This window comes from Homo sapiens, chromosome 18 (genome assembly GCF_000001405.40).
Source record: "Homo sapiens chromosome 18, GRCh38.p14 Primary Assembly".
Classification (NCBI taxonomy): Eukaryota; Metazoa; Chordata; class Mammalia; order Primates; family Hominidae; genus Homo; species Homo sapiens.
The window spans coordinates 34581264-34601167 of record NC_000018.10 but is presented as its reverse complement, the minus strand read 5'-3'; the positions used below and the strand labels follow the sequence as shown (position 1 = coordinate 34601167).

The window sequence follows — 19904 nt, the reverse complement described above, 5'->3', positions numbered from 1 at the left end:
AAGGAGCAGTACCTCTGCTGCTGCTGTACACTGCCACTTCAGTAAAAGTTGCTGTCTAACACCACTGGCTTGCCCTTGAATTCTTTCCTGCCCTAGGCAAAGCCAAAAACCCTCCTGGGCTAAGCCCCAGTACTGGGGCTCACCTGTTCTAGGCCAATGGTAGGATCATATTATACTTCCCATCCAACTGAAGTTAGGTGTGGCCACATGGCATGCTTTGGCTAAGGGAATGTGAGTATAAGGAAAATGGGTCATTTCCAGGTGAAAACAGCTGTGTAGAGAAGAACCTTCAGCTAATCTGTGGTGGCTAAATTGTATAAGTGAGAAGGAAACCTGGTTTCTATATGTCACTGAAATTGAGAGTTGTTTGTTACCTGAGGAAACCACCCATAGTATATCTGGAACACTTCATATGTCTACATCTTAGTTTTATCATATGTAAAATAAATGTCTCTTACCTACAAAATAACTTCAAACATTGGATGCATCTGGGAAGAATTGCTACATTTATCTGAGGTGTTAAATATCTTTTGGTTAGTAAACATGATTCTTCAAATATGTAGAAATGAACAATCTAAGACCTGGAAGTTCATATGCATTGGAAGATAAATTTCATTCAAAATTATATCTTGTAAAAAACTAATTAAGGCATCTGTATTCCTGAACTGTGATTAATTCAGTGAATTCATTGTTTCAGCATCTATAAATGTGTGAACTATCACACTATATAGGAATGAGTACAAAAAATAAACTGAGACTTAAAAAGAAAAATAATTAAAGTAACTCTATTGCTCTTTTTAAAATACTTAGAGGTTTACAAAACTTTCATGATTCAGAGTGTCTGAGTCATCTTTACATCATTTTTATTTTGCAAAAATGCCAAGTCCAGTTTTATTTATGCAAATAAATGTGTTTCTATTTTATATTAAGATTTAATTAAATATGTAATAAAAAATACACATTTGACTTAACTTTTTTTCAGAATTTATTCAGCTCTCTTTAAGCTCTTCTGTTACATAAGTATCTCCTAAACAAGAGATTTTTTAAGAATCTCAAGACTATCCTCTAACTTAGCTTTCTGAGAAGAAAATACTAGTTGTTGAGAAAGGCAAAATGACTTTTTAAATATGTGTGGAGATTAAGACAAATACATTTAAAATATCAATGAAAGATACATAAAGAAATTTGTTGGCTGGACACGGTGGCTCACACCTGTAATCCCAGCACTTTGGAAGGCTGAGGCAAGCAGATCGCTTGAGGTCAGGAGTTCGAATCAGCCTGGCCAACATGATGAAAGCCTGTCTCTACTAAAAATACAAAAAATTAGCTAGGCGTGGTGGCGGGTGCCTGTAATCCCAGCTACTTGGGAGGCTGCGGCAGGAGAATTGCTTGAACCCAGGAGGTAGAGGCTGCAGTGAGCTGACAGCTGTACTCTAGCCTGGGCGACAGAGCAAGACTTTGTCTCAAAAAAGAAACAACAAGAAAACAAAACAACGACAACCAAAAACAGGTAAAGTCATGATTTTCCTACATTGCTTCTGTAATAAGAAAAAGTAAAATGAAGGGATATGGAATTTTTCAGGTTTGAGGGTTTTGTTTTCCCTTTTCAACAACAAAAAAGAAAAAAATTGTTAATTAAATTCATTGTTTTAACATGATATCCTTCAGTACCAGTGTCCGGTGAAGGGGGTGAATAAGTAATTTCATTGTCTACACAGTTAGAACAAAAGGTAGGAGTTCAAATTATTGAATTAATGAGAAAAATGAGTTCAGCTGTTTGGAAGTTATGATTAGAAATCAGCCATTATTCAAGAGCTAGTTTAGAGTTCTTTTATAGATGAGGCAAAAAAGAAAGGCCAATATCATATTTTCATATTTTGCGATGAAGAATTCTGGGATCTCAAACACTGAGTTTGAACATTTCATTAAATTCAAAGATGTTTTCTGAAGATACATTTTCTGAAGATACATTCTGAAGCCCCACCCATACTGGGGCTTTTCTCTTTGTGAAGGTAGGAGTGTCCTGTATGAGAAATAATATAAGCCAAGTTTCTTATTTATCTAAATCTCAGAAGTTGGCGTATCAAAGCCTCACAATAAATGTGTAAAAAGTTTATAAGTGGTCCAAAGAGTATAAAATTAATTAAACATCCTTGGAATTAATAAGTTATATTTCCTCTTCCTCTGGTTCCCATCAACTATATTCAATGTTTAATAAACAAATACAGTTTTTCTTTGCTTAGCATAGGCTTTTAGAAAGATGATATTCAAATTGCACTTCAAGGCCTTAAATTTTTTTTTTGAGATGGAGTCTCGCTCTGTCACCCAGACTGGAGTGCAGTGGCGCGATCTCGGCTCACTGCAAGCTCCACCTCCCAGGTTCATGCCATTCTCCTGCCTCAGCCTCCCAAGTAGCTGGGACTACAGGTGCCCACCACCACACCTGGCTAATTTTTTTTTGTATTTTTAGTAGAGATGGGGTTTCACCGTGTTAGCCAGGATGGTCTCAATCTCCTGACCTCGTGATCCACCCGTCTCGGCCTCCCAAAGTGCTCAATTACAGGCGTGAACCAATGCGCCTGGCCAAGGCCTTAAAAATTTTAAGAAAAGTTTTCCACAAGCTTTCACAATATTGTATTACATAAACACTCAACTGCTTTCTTTGTAGCACCACACTGTGATTTGAAAACAACCCAGTGTTTTCTAATGGTTGAAATTGAGGTTGTATGCAATGAGATAATTTTCATTTAGTTGTGCCTCATTGACATTTTCCCATTGTGCTATTTAACATTCTGGACTAGATTTGTTGAAATATGTCAGTTTTCCCACTCTATGACTCTTTTGATTATGAATCTCTCTGATAATAAACAGCTGACTCACCATACTTAAATTTCTACTCTCTTGTTGTCACAATCAAGTTATACATCACATTTGGTAAAAAAAAAAAAAAGAAAGAAAGAAAATAGAGAATTCCCTTTCCCCAAGACAGTGACAACAGCCAAATAAACATGTTTTTACTGACTCCACTTGACATACAGGATTACTAATGATCATTATTCTAGACAAAGAGTCTAAGGTCAAAAGAAAAAATGATGTTTAGAATGGAAAAGAATATATTAACAAAACAAATTCCTCAGAAACAAACTTCTTCTGAATAGTCATCTGTTCATTTCTTAAACATTTTTTTGAGTGGTTCCTGTGTGTCAGTGACTGAGAATAAAAAAGCGAGTAAGACACAAGCCACAGCATTAGGGACTCCCAGAACAGTGGGTGAGCTATACACTTAAAAAGAAAGTACAGAAAGTACAGTGAAGGTGACTTATGAGGTCAACCCTAAAGGAAAAGTGGGGTTTTCCCACAAAGGAGAGAAGCAATAGGCATTCTGGGGGGGCGGGGGGCGGTGGGGAAAGGTAGACTAGCACAGAGCTAAAATAGTATACGGCATATTGTGGAGGCAGCCATTGTATGTGATTGAAGTGTTGGTGATAACCAGTGAAGCAGTGGAGTCAATGTTTGAGAAACAGATCGAGGCTTTGTGATGGACCTTTTAAGACATACTAAGGACACTAAGCTTTATTTTGAAGGGAGTCATGAATCACTAAAGATTTTTAAGTAGGGGAGCAATTAATTGAAGTCTATAGTTTTTAGAAGATGGGTATGTTGGTTTCAGCAAGTGTGTATGTAGTGGCAGGGTGAGGGTGTGGATGGAGCTTAGAGACAGGAGAACAACTGGAAGACCATATAATAGCCAAGTTAAATGATGAAGACCTGAAGTAGAGCAACTGCAGAGAGAATGGAAAGCACGGGATTTAAGAAGATTTTTTAAATGTCTTAGTACTGGATATAGGCCAAGAGAAACCAGAAAGAGTCAAAATCAACTTCTGAGAGTGAAGGATGCTTGTGGGATGGATTAGAGGTTAAAGAAATTGCCAAGGAAAGGGGCCAGCTAGGGACAAATAATACTGCACAGCCATAAAAAAGAATGTGTTCATGTCCTTTGCAGGGACATGGATGAAGCTGGAAACCATCATTCCCAGCAAACTAACACAGGAACAGAAAACCGAACACCACACGTTCTCATTCATAAGTGGGAGTTGAACAATGAGAATATATGGGCACAGGGAGGGGAACATCACACACTGGGGCCTGTCAGGGAATTGGGGGCTAGGGGAGGGATAGCATTAGGAGAAATACGTGATGTAGATGACGGGTTGACGGGTGCAGCAAACCACCATGGCACATGTATCCCTATGTAACAAACCTGCACGTTCTGCACATGTATCCCACAACTTGCGTATAATTAAAAAAAAGAACTGTTAGGTGGTGTTGACAGCTCAAATAAAGTCAGAAAACATGAATCTTTCAATCAGCATGCATATGCAATTTTCTCCAAAAAGTTTGAATATATCAGGTCACAACTAAAAAATAAAATCAGAAAAGTTATCTGAAATCATTAATGATATCAGCAAACTTTGATATGTTCTCTAGAACGAAGAGTGTAAAAAGAAACAACTATAATAGCAGTAGGATGAATTTCCATTTCTGGTAACAGTAATGAGAGAATCTGGACTGATATACCCGATGTAATAAGATATTTGTATGTATTACCTGATGTAATAAAGATATTTGAGATATAAAAACAGTAAAGAGGCTGGGCATGGTAGCTCATGCCTGTAATCCCAGCACTTTGGGAAGCTGAGGCAGGTGGATCACTTGAGGCCAGGAGTTCGAGATGAGCCTGGCCAACATGTTGAAAACCCGACTCTACTAAAAATACAAAAATTAACCAAGCATGGTGGCATGTGCCTGTAATCCCAGCTACTTGGGAGGCCAAGGTACGAGAATCACTTGAACCCAAGAGGCAGAGGTTGCAGTGAGTGGAGATCAATCGCGTCATGTCACTGCACTCTAGCCTGGGCAACAGAATAAAACAAAACAAAACAAAACAAAAAACCAACCAACCAAACAAAAAACAGCAAAGAGCCTTTAGTAAGATGGTGAAGATTTGGCATATGAAAACTTAGGAGAAGATCAGAAATCAGAGAGGTGAGGTCACTTTTAAAAGCCCTTGGGCATATGACTATCAGGAAAAAAGATCTGAGAATCTAGCTTTACACTTCAAGTAGCTTTCTGTGCTTCATAGAAAAGTCAAAGTCCTTGGCCCTCAGGTGGGGCTTTAATTAACTAACCCAGCTTTATGCTGGTGTCATGAAAGGTCATACTCTCCTTTAGGGGAGGAGTGAACCTACCATTCCTCTCACTGATTTGCAGCCTTCTTGTCACAGAGGTGATTCAGGGAACATCAGGAGTTGTACTTTGTCTAAGATGATTCTGGTCTGATATCGCCCCCAGGTGCCTGGCAGAAGCAAACCAAAGTCTTCTCTGGAGGAAAACATTATCACTTAGATCTCAACTTACTCTTACGATCTTTAATTATAATGTAATTTTAAAAATACATTTCCAGCATAGAGTCAAAGATATCCAAGCAACCAAGAAATTAAGACACCATGAATGAGAACTAGCAGGAAGAGTAATAATAGAAACAAATCCAGTAACACTTGAGATACTATAATTATCAGAAATAGATTATAAAACTACACTTAGGATGTTCAAAAGAATAAAAGCTAAGATTGACAATTTTATACAAGAATTAGAAACTATAAAAGTGATATAATAGTAGCAGAGAAATATTTGTCTCTTTTTCTGTCAACACTATTTGGCCACATAGTTTAACATTCTTCATTTTAGAATTTTACATTTTGTGTTCTTTTTTGTGTTTTTTTTTGACACACTGAAAAAAAACCCAAATCCCACACTGGTAAGCCTAACATATTTTCATTTATTTTATAATTCAATAAAAAACATATTAGTTACATAAAAGGTATGCCTACATGTGTTACTGTGTGTACCTGAGTGTATGGTGAGCACCCAGGTGCATGCATTCACAAACTTCTTGGAAGCACCTGTGATTTCTGCCAGGTTCATTCTTATTGTCAACCATTCAGTACACAACTGGTAATACAATGTCACAAGGCACCCAGTATGACCACAGAAAATTTACAAAGTTAACACATGATTATGGGGAAATGAAAATTAATTGCAATTGCTTGCAACCTAAAGGGGTTAATTATAAGTATTACCCAAGGTTAACTATCATTTAACAAATTGTCTAAACTGTCACAAGGTCAGATATTTACACTGAAAAGCAAATATTACTGGGGGACTTAGTACATTGACTTTAAAACTCTCTTAAGTCAGATTCTTTCTTGAGTATAGGTCTTGCTTGACAAGAAAACGGGGGCGCTGAGTAGTCATATTCATCAGGGGTCTGGAGGGATAAGGAGGACTGAGAGGGAGGGAAAATTGGACAGAGAAAGGAGGAAAGGGGCATCAGAACTGAGCTCTGCCAACTTCACATTTGCTTGGCCTCACTAGATTACTCAGTAGTTGTAAAATCAAATGACTTTATCAATATAATGCCCATTTTTCATTTTAGAAGAGTGACACAGTGTATTACTTATTCTCATCAAAGTTGAATGAAAAATCCATAAGAAGCCCTTCATTGTTTGTACCTAGTTTAGCCAACTTAGTTCATTAGAATCTGGTCTATTTGACAAGACAAAAAACTGGCCAGTTACATTTAACAACTGTTCATCTGTGCACTCTGTAATAACAGCGTCAGCAGATTTATTTTCCCCATATAAAGTAGAATTTCCAATTCACACCATGTACTCTGTGACTATTATGGACAGTATTTATTCAGAAGGAATGCTGTGCAAGTTTGGAAGAGCTGTCTCTAAGAGCAGAGGGAGAGGTCATTTGACAAAACAAGAAACAAAACCTATACATGGGCAAAACATGAAGAGAACTAAAGTTTGTCATTCTTTTCAAGAAGAAGTTTGAAGTCCTAAAACAGTGCGACAATAGCAAAATCAGACAACTCTTCCTCTCCCTTGTCTTCTCTCAAGCTCTGTAAAATCAGAACGCCTCCATCCACTTAGCAAATTTCAGCTTTTTTTTTTTTCCTGAAGGAGGGGAACCTGCTTGGAATTAATGAGATAACACTAAAAAATAACTTCTATTAATTCTTCTCTTCCTGAAAAGTGCCTATTTTTTTTCTCAGTTGCTTTTTAAAAAGTAGAATATCTTCTAAAGGCTCCTTACGCAGTTTAAGCCACCTTTAGAGCACCTTTCCTCTCCTTTTTCCTTTTTTTGTTTCTCAAATTGGGAAGTGACTTAGTAACATGCAGGGGAAACTGAACTCCATCTCACAATAATATAGTTTCATCCAATGGCATAATAGACACAGTAGCATTCAGTCTGTGTTGTGACATAAAACTATTGAGATTGTAACTCAGTAAACTCATAGTGCTTAAGAGAAGAATAGAGGGAAAAACAAATAAGGATAAAGTCAAAACTGAAGTTACAGACTTGCAATGTAAATTTCAAAACTAAGCAAAAATCCTCTTTCTGCTGCACAAAATGTAAAATACCAAGTATCTTAAGAAAGGTAAGCAAGCTACAACACTGAAAAATCTTGACCTTTTCATTCACACAGATAAAAAGAAAAATTCAATATTAAGCATCCCAGAAAAGCGATGCACTTTAAAAACCAATCTTTTCACTTACCCTAGAACATGCACACCATGATCTCTTAAATCCTTTTAATTCCAGTACATCCAGAACATATGTGAATTCTAAGCATATTCATTTAAAGAACAAACTTGAACCAAATTGGTAATTACAACAGAGATCATAACAGAACTCTCTGAAATTCTAGGGAGAGCTATGAGTATGAAATCCAGCCTCTAGATCCTGGTGTGTACTGTGTCTATCTTTAACTTGAAAATGATTTGGTTTCACATTCCATTGAAGTCCCACTGGCAGATGCCTTTGGTAAGCTCGCCAATGGCAGGCTTTCATGCGCCCTCCCTCCCCGCTCCCTCTGACTGAGCTTCCGCTGTTACATCTAATGCTGATTTACTCAGCTGTCTTTTTACCTGTCTCTACGTGGGTAAAAGGAGATGCTTTCATTGACGGATATTACGGAAACACTTGGAAGCTGAACATCAGCCCGAGGACTCACTATGCTTCCCCTGCCATCCCCTCCCCCTACTCACTGCCAGAAACCAACTGACTTCCAAACTTGGCTGCCTGAAAAAGAATGTTCTCTGATTGGCATTCCTGGAAGCAGAAAGCAAGGCAGCTCAAGTTTTGTACTGTTACTCAGCATGAATAACTTCCCAGGTACACAAAATACAAATAGTAAATTTTTTTTCTTAACTTTGAGGAGGGCATTAAAAATATTTTCATTGTAGGACAGCATTTAAGTTTTAATGTCCACATGTAATTTTACAGAGGATGGCAATGGCTGTAGTAAGAAAGAGAAATGACAAATTTTTTGTTAAAAGTTGAATGAGTCTTAGTAAATGAGTTGGGATCCGTTAGAAGAGGAAATCATCATGCCGCCTGCTTGCCAGTGTTTTGGAGGGCAACTGTTCAATCTGTGCATTTTCTGTTAGAGAAAAACTTGTTGTAAGAATTGTGGAAAAACTGATTTCAACCAAACAGGAGAGAGTGCAAAAAACACTTCTATCTCCCCACTGAAACTTCTTTTTCAGGACTGTCTTGCAAAACTTGAGTGCGGACTGGAAAACAAAATGTGTGTGTGTGTGTGTGTGTGTGTGTGTGTGTGTGTGTTATACAAGTGTATATCTAAAAGAAGAGAAATTGAGTGAATGGAAACAAAGAAAAAGATACATTTCATCAAATAGAGACTGACATGAATTAACAACATGGGGTCCCTTTAAATCACCATTAATTAACTTGTGTTTAATATTTATTAATATTTAGTGGTCACTGGGGCCAAAAGATCTCCTGCCTCTGAAAATAACTAACCTCTTTATGTTCAAAACATGCAATTCTACAGACCACACAACTTCTTCAAAAGCCTAATGAAGGCTTTATAATTTTGGTAATTGGACACATCTCAACCCTAAGCATTTGGGGGTTTCCAAATTTCAGCTAGCTGTGGCTGCCAACTCTAGGCAACTGTCAGCTGGCTGGGCTCAGGGTGGTGGTGTGGCTGCAGCTGCTCCTTGGAACTTATGTGGACATCTCAAAAATATTCAACGGCAAAACGTAGATGCCAGAAAGCAAGCTTTCTGTTTTTGTTTGTTGATGGTTTTGAATCTTCTATTTTGGGTTATATTTTATCATATCTAGGGCAATACCATCTTAAGAAACCATGAGGGAAAACTTGATTAATTGGCATCATATTACTAGCCTATTTTAGTGATATTTTGATGCCCCATATAGATTGGTGGCTTACCAGCTTTTAGCCTTTTAGCCTAACTTTGTTACTAGATGTCTTTTAAAAAGATCAAAAGATAGAAACAGAGGAGTAAGAAACTTTCCTTATTTTTGTCCCCAAAGTTGACAGTTTCTTAGGGAAACTGCAGGCTCTATGTAATGCTGATAGACGGGCATTCTAATGACTTCACAAATAAATGGGAAGAAATAAAGCAATAGTCCAGAAAGTACACATTTCTGTCACTGTGTTTCTTTATCCCTCTGTCAAAAACACGCCTTCCCAAGGCTAATGGATGGTGCCAAAACACAAATGAACTAAGAAGGGTGGACAGACGTGCGGCCATCAATGGTTCACATTCAGCTGCTCTGTTCACCTCTGTTGTATCTCAGAGTGAGCACTAGCACATAACTGATACTCAAAAAATGGTTGTTGAAACTGAAGAACTGCTCATGTGCAAGTGTATATCTTAACCTATGGAAAATGGTTATTTGTTGGCCTACATCTTAGATAAATATGTTTTGTATTTGTCTTGGGAAAAATACGCTTCTTTTCAGGCAATTAACCAAAATATTATATAGAATGTATATTATGTACCAAGTACCTTTACTGAAGCCAAAAAATCATTATACATCTTATGTATGTATGTATGCATGTGTGTGATTCTAAATATTAACGTGGCAAATATTTGTTAAGAGCACTTCTACCAATCTTGGTGGCTTATAAGAAAAATAGAAAAAAAAATGAAATGTTTAGGTTTGCTAATATTTCCCAGTAATGAGTAAACTATAATAATTTTCCTTATCGAACTGTTACTGGCCACTCTTTATAGTGCAACATTCATCAGTCAGATATCTCCTAAGGTTCCCAACTTTATCTCTGCTGCTATTTCCATTTGTGCCAGTCTTAGAAATCTCAGAACACTCAACAACGGGAATAGGAACATTAGTCCAGATGCAAGTGTGAGTGAGTACAATCATTTTTTTCCTTCTTTTTCCCCCTAACCTTCACAAGGCAATTGATAAGATTTATAATGGCTAGAACTCAGTCTTTATCGTGAGTAAATGTTGTTTTCCTCTTTCATAAGCACTAATGTGAGAATTAGGATTAGATCAGAAAAACAGCTTCTAGGGCTTGCTTCCAAAGAAAACTGGGCATGTAACAGGCAAATCAGATACCCTTGATTTATCATGAACAAGAAGTTAATCTCTCCTCCATTCTCCAGAAATAGACTCTATTAGCACCGTTCTGTGGATGGCAAATGCTGGAGCATGGCTCCTTGCAGGGGTGACCAAGGTGTTCAAACACAGGCCTTAGCTGATCTGTGAGACATCCATGTGTATGAAGAACCTGGTCACTGAAAAGCAAACGACCTCTGTTATTTTTTTCCTCCCTAATAAATATCCTTAAGGGATTAGGACAGGCAGTATTCTCATGGTGATAGTTTTATAGCTAATATTTTTGTCATATCATTTATTTTTAAAAGCATATACTTTTTATGCAAAAATAATTTGGGGTATAATTGTGATTTTTGTTAAAAGAGAAAACATTAATACATCCAAGTCATTTAAAAGTAATTAAAATAGATACTGCCCAAGAAAAAGTAGAAAAACTTTACATAAACTGCATTAGAAAACAGGGGCTCTACAGACAAATATGGAAGATTCAAAGCAGCAGCATGCTATTTATTATCTTATTAAATGCCAATCAACTTAAAAATATACCCAGCAATCTCTTTTATGGGTATATACCCAAAGGAAATACATCAACTCCTAAAGGTATCTGTACTTCCATGCTCATTGCAGCATTATTCACAATAACCAAGATGTGGGAACAACCAAAGTGTTCAATGACAGAGGAATGAATACAGAAATTGTGATATACATATGCAGAATCTTATCCAGCCCCCAAAAAAGAGATCCTGCCATTTGCCATAACATGGATAAACTTAGAGGACATTATGCCAAGTGAAATAAGCCAGGCACAGAAAGACAAATCCTGCATGATCTCACTTATATGTGGAATCTTTTAAAAAATCAAATATATAGAAATAGAGTAAAGCAATAGTTACCAGGAGCAGGCAGAAATGGGAAGATATAGATCAAAAGGTACAAAAAGAGAGTTATATAGTTAAGCGTAGAGATTTAGCATATAGAACAAAGACTACAGTTAATAATATTGTATTGTATACCGGTAATTTGCCAAGGGGGTAGATTATGAGGTACTTTTTTTTCGTTTTGTTTTGTTTTGAGACAGAGTCTGGATCTGTTGCTCAGGCTGGAGTACAGTGGCACAATCTCGGCTCACTGCAAGCTCTGCCTTGTGGGTTCATGCCATTCTCCTGCCTCAGCCTCCCAAGTAGCTGGGACTACAGGTGCCCACCACCACGCCCAGCTAATTTTTTGTATTTTTTAGTAGAGACGGGGTTTTATTATGTTAGCCAGGATGGTCTCGATCCCCTGACCTCATGATCCACCCGCCTCGGCCTCCTGAAGTGGATTATTAGGTACTCTTAACACACACAAACGTGCTCATACACACACATGAAAGTAACTATAGGAAACAACGGAATATTAATTTGTTTAACTGTAGTAATCACCTCACTATATATATCAAAATAAGTATATCAAAACATCATGTATACCTTACAAACATACATTTTAAAAACAAAGAAAACCACAGCAGCATGCTACATATAATCCTATTAAATGCCAATAAACTTAAAAATTGGTTGAAATGGACACCTGTTATATATGCCTGTCACATGAAAATAACTGTAATCATGCAAAGGGCTGTATGTACAAATATACTAATTACAAAATATACTTAGTATTATACATATAATTAGTATAGTATTATAAATATAATTAGTATAGTATTAATATAAAATATAATTCGTATATTTGATAGCAAATAATGGGGAACAATGATAGTTTTTATAAAAAACAGAATGGCATAGGCTAATGCTTAGTTAGGTTAAAAATCAGCTTGCATGTGTATGTGCACCATGATTTCAACTATATTAGAACACCAGAGAGGAAGATAAAGGCTAAAAAATTCCTACCAAAATGATTGTGGATCCTTTATGAAAAATCTTAATTCACTTTTTGTAAATTTTCTGTAATGACATTATTTTACCTTCATAATCTACACACACACACACACACACACTATAATATTCAAGTAGGAATAATTGCAGCATTTCCTCATTCCTCACCCTCCTCCTCATCTTTGAAGAGGCATCTCTAGTTCTCTGGATCTTTGTTGCAGGAGCTTATAGGGGAGAGGAGCATAAGGGGATGAAGATGCTCTTTAATGTCTAAAGAGACATAGAAGAAGATTAATGGGACTTATGTTGGTTTTAAGAAAGGGCAAGGAGGGAAATATCCAAGAAAAAGAACACTCTTAAGATGGTGAGAACGAGAGAAGAGCAGGCGGGAAACAGAATCTGGCACACTATAGGTAGGGGGTTGGGGGCAGACTGTAAGCTGGGTTGGGGAGCAGCTACTTCAATGAGGCAGACGTTGAGGAGATCAGGATCTCAAAAAGAGGTTTAGGGTATTTGGCCCTAGGATATCTGTCTGAGTGTTTTGTGATTTCTTCTCATAAAACACTTAAGAGAGGTTTTACTTTTCAAGATATGGTAGTACCAAGTTTGTGGGTCTTTGGGACACTTCATGATATAGTCATGAATCTTAAGTCTATAGATATATTTGGTTACATAAACATTTTTGAAAAGTTGGTGCCAATTGTTGGGTTGTGGTGGTTGTTACAACTGGTTTACTTTGATAGGGTAAGAAATCAGTTTTACTCGTCTATACAAACTTTCTGGATCATTTTCTTCTACTTGCATTTCCTTCCCTGTGTCTCTCTCAGTTCCCATGATGGGTATCTATTACAGTCTCTTGGACTGACTGCTGAATGTAAAGTGGCCAGCCATTCTGTTTTGTCTAGGCCCGAGGGATTTCCTGGGATACAGGATTTTCAGCGCTGAAACTAGGAAAGTCTCAGACAAACCAGAGTTGGTCATCCTATATATGTGATCTGGAAGTTTTAAAGTTATATGTATGCTTGTGATAAAGATTAGCCTTTTTAATAATTAGAAAGTGTTTGGCCCAAGTAGACCAAAACTCTGAAAATAAAGATTTCATTTGGTCTTTATCCCTTGTTAGCTACACAACCTGGGAGAGGTCCACCACCAAGGGCCACTATTTCTTCATCCCTACAATGAGAATAATAATACTTCAAAGAGTTGTTGTCAACTTCAAATGAGATATGCATTTAAGTTCAGAACACATAAAATGTGTAAATATATACTTTATATCAAATATATTTTATATAAATTTGTATTAGATAACATAGTTATTTTTCAAAGCAGATTTTAATTATTTTATATTGAGAAATAATGGAAGCACAAAGAACAGGCACAGCATTTCACACTATGTGGAGTGCAGAGGAGAACAAAGAAAATGAAAGAGAGAGACTGACTAAGGAAACATATTTTTTCAGGAGTGTCTGTTTTAGCATTTGATTTTCTCCTAAATTAAACTCACCAAGTTAGGGATGTTTTGTCTTTAAGTGGTTATAAAGCCCCAGTAACAACCAATATAACATGCTTGCAAAACATATGGGTTATCTCCAGTATAAAAGAAATAAAGATTTTTAGCCAGTGCAATATAGTGAGACCCCATCTCTACAAAAAAAAAAAATTAGCCAGGCATGGTGGCATTTACCTGTGGTCCCAGCAAGTAGCTCGGACCCTCCCAAGTAGGGGGGCTGAGATGGAAGGATTGCTTGAGCCCAGGACTTTGAAACTGCAGTGAGCTGTGATCACACCACTGCACTCCAGGCCTGGGTGACAGAGAAAGACCTTGTCTCCAAAAAAAAAAAACTAAAGATTTTGTTGTATTTTTTCTATACCCTGGGGTGGGGGTATTTTTCCTTTGTGGAACCAAAGTCAACTCGAATTGGAGCACAATCATAAATATGTCCATCACTCAGTGAAACCAGAATGTCCAACTTCATCCCAGGGACAGAGGACCACCTCTATTGGATTACTTATTTGAACTCTGCCAGCATATACTGTATGTGATACTGCTTAAGAAGTGAGGGTAAAATTTGGTTTTGGAGCAAAATGAAAATATACAAATTTTCATAATCAAATATCTAATCCATATTTGAAATCCATGTGAAAACTGGTTCTAATTCAAGTTCTTTTAAAGATCTATCCAGGGTTAGAAATACGACAATTCTGTTTTGTGTAATAACAGAAAATGACAGGTGATAGCCAAACTGGATGGAGTCTGATAGTTAGAGTCAGCATATTCATTTGTGTTATGGAGGCTGGGAAGTCCAAGACGGGTGGCTGCATCTGGTGAGGAACTCATGCTGCTTCATAACAGGGTGGGAAGGTGAGAGGGGAGCCTGGCCCATGCAAAAAAAAACAAAAACAAAAAAAACCCGACAAGACAGGCAGTTTTACTTTGTAACAACCTCAAAGTAACTAGGACTTCACTCCCATAAAAAAGGCATTACTCCCTCTTAATGACCTAATAATCTACCCTTGGAGGCACCACGTCCCAACACCACCACATTGGGAACCAAGCCTCAACATGAGTTTTGGTGGGGACAAATCATATTTGAACCAAAGCAATTTGGGAACAGTTTTTCTCCAAATAAGCAAACTACTATCAGTGTTTTTCAAACTTGCTGTTGTTTTCTATGGAACCTTTTCTTCAAAGGAAATAGTTCACTGAAACATAACAATGACAAAGCATAGCTCCTTTAGCAGTAACAGGTGTAAAGCCTGTGGCCCCATTTCTTCAGCCCCCTCCTCCATGAGGCAGTCCCTGTGGGGACTCCAGGAGCCCTCCATGAACCTGGGAAGCACTGCTTGAAAACCACAAAGCTCTAGTATTCATGGCATTCATGTTCTTTACAAACAATTAGCTTTTTCATATTAATAAAAATTCATGCACATATTCTTAAAAACTACACAAAACTGTAGAGCTTAAAAGAATGTCCCACCCACCTCTCTATACCTTTGAAGCCCAGAGGCAACCATCTTCATCTAACTGTTCATTATGATGATGATTCCATATTCCCACATGATACTCAGATACCTACTTTTTGATTTTCAAATGTTGATATTACCTTTTGGCCTCCTACTATGGGAGATAAGGATTCTATGTAGGATATTATATATAATACTTCCTCCAGCATGTGTGTCCTCTCTCCCTATCTCTCTCTCTTTCTTCTTTCCTGCCTCCCTGTCACCTACCTCCCTACCACACACATGAGCACACACATGCTTCCCTTAGCTTAATCTTCCCAATTTAACTACACAACAATCTTAGATAAACTACTAATTAGGGTTTACATTATTTTAACTTGTATATATTATCCACATGTAAGCCACATGGGAATGTATGATTACATTTCTTTTACACATTTTTTTCTTCTTTTTCCTGATATTAGTTGCATCATATTTTTGTTTTCTTAATTTTTCATCTGCCCATCTTATATTTCCTCAAACTCTCCAATAGAAATGCAACATTCCTCTTAATACAGTCAAATATGTTAGTTGTGTTGTTGTTGTTGTTTTTTAGTACCCTCATGCTTTTTGTGGCAATCTTGCTACTGAGCTGTCATCCTAGGACTGCTCTTTGCCTCTCTGTAGTTTGGGTCCCGTTCCCTGAATTCTTTGTTTTTCTTTCTCGATGGACTCCCTCATGGGTGGGTGGGCGAGCATGCAGTAGCTTCCTGAGAAAGATGTTTGGGACAAACTCATTTTTGGAGAACTTAAATGTTTGAAAATATTTCTTTATTCTCTTATTACATTAATTGTTACTTTTACTTTACACAGAATTCATTGTTTAGAAATACCTTTTCCTCAGAAATTTCAAGGGATTTCTTTACTGTCTTTTAGCTTCCAGTGTTATTAAGAAGTTATTTTGTTTCCCGATTCATTTTATTTGACTTTCTATCTTTCTTTGTTCCTTTCCTTGCTTGTTCATTTCTTCCTTCTCCTCTTCCCTCCCTCCTTCTTCTCTCTGAAAACACTTATGATTTCTTCTTTATCCCTGGTGTTCTATTGTCTCATAACAGCACATTTGGTGCGATATGCATGAGTTCCCCCAGTTGATTATATTTGAAATTCAGGGACTTTTACTCATTTATTCAGTTCCAGGAAATTTTGTTATGTACTTTTAGCAATTTCTGACCTCTATTTCTTCTGTTCTTTTATTCTGAAACTAACCTTGAGACTCAAACTCTAACGTTATTATCTTTTCTATTTATCTTCTTTTTGTCATCTACCTCTAGAAGAGTCTCTCATCTTTGTTCTGTTGATTATATTATTTCGCCTAACATTTTTAATTTTTAAGAATTAAATTTTCTCTAATTTCTCCTTTTTCATAGCACCATGTTTAGTTTCATGAACACAATTTCTTTTTTACTATCTATAATACACATTTCAGCTTTTTAAAGCTACATGTAACAGCTTTCTGTTCTCTCCAGAGTCTTTGTTTCCTTCCATTTCTTGTTGGTTAGTTTGCTTTGGTCTCTTTGTTGGAGACTTTCCTCCATATGTGGTATTCTTTAGCTGTCTGCTCAAGCAATGTATTATGGGCTCCAGGACATTACCATAAAACCATTAGACAAAGCTGAGTTGTTTCACCGAAATGCCCTCAAGATTAGCAAGATTTCTTCCCCCTTGGGTAGTCAGACCCTCTAGGAAGGTGCCCCCTCCAATGTTCTGCCTGGGAAGTACAGCCTGGTTGCCAGTGTCCTGGGAGCTGAGCCACCTAAGAAGGCTTGAAGGGAAAGTAGAGTTTGTTACTATTCGGCACGCAGATTTCTACTTAAGTCTCCCAGATTTCTATATCGTATCTCATCCTCATCTGCCACTGTCCCCAATAATGCTAAGCTTGTAGCCTCTATAGTTAAGTTACTCCAGAGAATAATACCCCGCCATCTCTCTTACAGGGTGAGAGAGGGGTAGCTGTCAGGCTGCAAAAAGTTGAGGAGGGAATTTGGGAGTCCAGGTGTTCTTGTTAAGAATTTCAAACAGTCCTGTTTTCAGCCTCAAGTCTGTCCCTTAGCGTCAGCAATCCTTTTTGCCTCCAGTCTTTGAGTCTTTTGAGGGTTCTCAATGGAGTTCCCATTTGTTTCTTTTTGGCATCTCCTCTGCAGACACCTGGGTTTCTACATCTCTGTTTAGCTAAAAACACATACCACTCATTCATTCCATTTCCATTAAAAAAAAAAAAAGTCAATAGCTCTCTGCTGTTGTGTTCTCTCCTGTTTTCTTTAGAAAGTGAGTTTCTTTTTCATTCTTTTTTTAGTTGTCATTATAGCAGTTCCTTTAGGAGGGAGAGGGTAGACTTAAGCAAGTATCCCATCCACCATTTTAATTGTAATTCTCTGCCTTCACTCTTTAGCACTGCCTTATAAAGGGAACAAATTCTCAAACATCTCTCCAAAATGATCCCACCAAATTCAGCAGTTGTGTGTTTGGGGGTGGGGGCCAACGGGGGCAACATGATATTTCATTTTTCTCCACAAGTACACCCAATGCTAAAATGAAAGCTAAATCCCAGCAAGGTATGTAATTATTTCTATCAGACAGACATAGTGAAGTACAACATTCAATTAGACTAAGGAGATCCTTTTATTCTGACATTACATGTTGTTCCCTATATTAAGACTTCCATCATTTATCTGTGGAATTAAATATCTGAACATATATAATTATAAATAATTCCTTCCTAGGCAAAACTATCTCTCTTAAAAAGTGAAAATACAATTCTTTTGTAATTGAACTTCTGCCTAAACTATTAATTAAGTCATAACCTAGTCAAGACAAGTAAAATTACTTAGCAGTCATTTTATATTTGCTTTTTGTTAGAAGACAATGTAAAATCTAATAGTGAACTAATTTCCCTTTCAAGTTGTCATGATGATTCGTATATGGACCACATTTGTATATTTTGTTATTTGAGGTAAGGTTTCTCTTGAATCATTTTACATACTAGTTTTGGCTCCTTATAATATGTGAGTCTGGAGAAATCAGTCTTCTAGAAATATTGTACCCTATTTCTTCAAGAGTATCCCATCAACATTGAAGCTACCTTTTACACTTAGAGAGATATATACATTCAATTATTTATCCAACTGTAAGAGTTGGCCCTGAGGAGAGAAACACAGGTTATTCTTGGCATCCTTTACTTTCTTGCCACATTTACCCTCTCTATGTGGTCTGCTCACCTAGCTCCAAAATATTCTGTTGCCATCAGTACTGCCCTAAGACACAGTCAAGGGGGTTGGGAGGTTGTGGGGACGGGCTGCCCTGGGCCTCACTCGTTAGAGGGCCTTGCTGCTGTAGTCTTCCTCTGTTTTCTATGTCATCCCCAAAAAGCTATGAGTTAGAAGAAATACCAGTGTCCCTCTTCTAACCAAGCTCTGAGCATGTGAGACTCTGGAGTTTCCCGCTCAAAAGGCGTTGAGACTGCATCCAGGTCTGTCTTCCCAAGGTGAACCTGCCTCTAGTATACACACCTTAAAGACTTAAGGGTAGTTGAAGAGTGGTTGTTTGTGGGGATGTGATGTAGGGGGTAGCAGTCAATCTTGGAAGAATGAGCTAAGGTGTTCACACACACCTTAGTGCAAGGCCCTTTCAGATACAGGACAGAACTAGGGATGGGAAGAGAAGGCAGAGTGTGTGGGTGCTCTCTCTCTCTGAGCAGCCACATTTAGGAGAATTTCAATTTGAACTTGGCCTTAAAAATCATTATGAAGATACACATATTAAGGTAGGAAAACATATTTGGTTTAATAATTTATAAGTTTGCGTTATAGCTTTTAAATATTTAGACATATTGTTTGTATGTCCCTCTTTGTATTTGTGCCTCAGATCCTACAAAATAATAGGGGCAGGGCCGGGCATGGTGGCTCATGCCTATAATCCCAGCACTTTGGGAGGCCGAGGTGGGCGGATCACGAGGTCAAGAAATCAAGACCATCCTGGCCAACATGGTGAAACCCTGTCTCTATTAAAATTACAAAAATTAGCGGGGCATGGTGGTGTGCACCTGTAGTCCCAGCTACTTGGGTGGCTGAGGCAGGAGAATCATCGCTTGAAGCCAGGAGGTGGAGGGTGCAGTGAGCCGAGATCATGCCACTGCACGCCAGCCTGGTGACAGAGCAAGACTCCGTCACAAAAAAAAAAAAAAAAAACTAACTAGGGGCATGCCTGACTGCCATATTGCCCCCATATTTACAGTGCAGTGTTCTAAAAGTAACTGTGTGCCTTTCCACACTTTCTCTTCTCTATCAAATTTATCTGTCCTTAACAACAAAAAGTCTCAAAATCATATTTTAAAAAAACACATCAGAGAGCTGAAGACACAAAGAAATCCAAAGAAATTAATTTTCAAAATGAGGTTAACCTTTTCTTGGATAGAAGAATTCTACAGCTGTTGTCACTCCTGAGGACACAGCAACAGGTGGAGCACCTTTGCCACAGAGTTGGATAAGGACAACCAGCCCAGGTATTAACACAGTTTCTTTTTTGTTTTGTTTTTTTGTTTTGTTT

At 37.6% G+C, this 19904-nt stretch overlaps 1 protein-coding gene across 45 annotated transcripts in view; it reads right to left on the bottom strand.

The window, feature by feature from the left end:
- The window catches only part of DTNA (dystrobrevin alpha), a 398533-nt gene that overhangs the window by 290677 nt on the left and 87952 nt on the right, over nucleotides 1-19904 (bottom strand). For 11 of the 45 annotated variants that reach the window (NM_001386757.1, NM_001386756.1, XM_047437320.1 and 8 more), the window contains exon 1: nucleotides 7630-7833. The exons of 31 other annotated variants lie outside the window; for them this stretch is intronic. The gene's annotated coding sequence lies outside the window, so the exon portion shown is untranslated. Of the gene's footprint in view, nucleotides 1-5249; nucleotides 5383-7629; nucleotides 7834-19904 lie in introns of those variants that run through there. 3 more of the 45 variants (XM_047437337.1, XM_047437338.1, XM_047437331.1) reach the window with 2 other exon arrangements.